The 817-nt window shown below is 49.9% G+C and overlaps 1 annotated feature.

Moving 5' to 3' along the window:
• Positions 217 to 466: an enhancer, noted in NCBI's record as "active region_19555". NCBI's record gives its function as "activates an Ori minimal core promoter by ATAC-STARR-seq in GM12878 lymphoblastoid cells {active_cell/tissue: GM12878}" and the evidence as "EXISTENCE:reporter gene assay evidence [ECO:0000049][PMID:35858748]".

Raw genomic sequence — 817 nt, 5'->3', positions numbered from 1 at the left:
GTTGCTAGGAGCCCATCTGGAACCTAATACTTGACATTTCTCTCTCTCAGCTGCTCCAGCTGCCCCCTGCATACATGAACGATTTCTCTAAATGCACCTAACTTCAGCCTTCAGGCCTGAGCCAGCGTTTAGGGTTCTCTGAGTCTTCTGCTTTTAAGCCACCTCATCACGGAACCCAGTAGGAAAACCCCAACAAACAAGGGCGGGCCCTCTGCTGCTTGGCACAGCCACCTCAACAAAAGCTGGGCACTTCCTGTAAGGCCCAACCCTGGGCCTGGCATCCCATCCTGCAGGGGGATCGCCCCTCTCCCTACTTCTGCTCACCACCTCCGGCACTTCCCCCGGTTACTTGGGTTGCTGCAGGAGCTGGGAGCACACCTTGCAGCTGCGGCAGCTTCAGAAGCTCAGATTTAACAAATGCTGGGCCGGCCTCAAAGTTAACTTCAGTTCAGTTTTCAAAGATCCTGCAAACAGCAGAAGGAGACCAGCCTGCTTCTTGTTTCTTGTCAAAGAGCGCTGTTCCCTAATTAGCCTCTCATGCTAACTTGGGGGAGCATCTCTATTCTTAGATAATACAGAAAACTGGTTTTACCCCTTAATAGTGTCTTTCTTTCTTTTGTAAATAGTTTTTTAATAAACATTTTGGTAGCTACATGAGGTTGGGTAATGCCCAAGGCTTTACCAACCTCATTGTGATATTTTTTTCACTTGTAACATATGTGACCACAGATGCTGCCACAGGCGTCACGTGGCCCCCTCACTGTAGCTGGGAGGGGACACACCTCCCATTTCCCTCTGACCACTGGGCTTTGTCTTT

This window comes from Homo sapiens, chromosome 3 (genome assembly GCF_000001405.40).
Source record: "Homo sapiens chromosome 3, GRCh38.p14 Primary Assembly".
NCBI classification, from domain to species: Eukaryota; Metazoa; Chordata; class Mammalia; order Primates; family Hominidae; genus Homo; species Homo sapiens.
The sequence above is the reverse complement of the archived record's forward strand: the minus strand, read 5'-3'. Positions and strand labels throughout refer to the sequence as shown.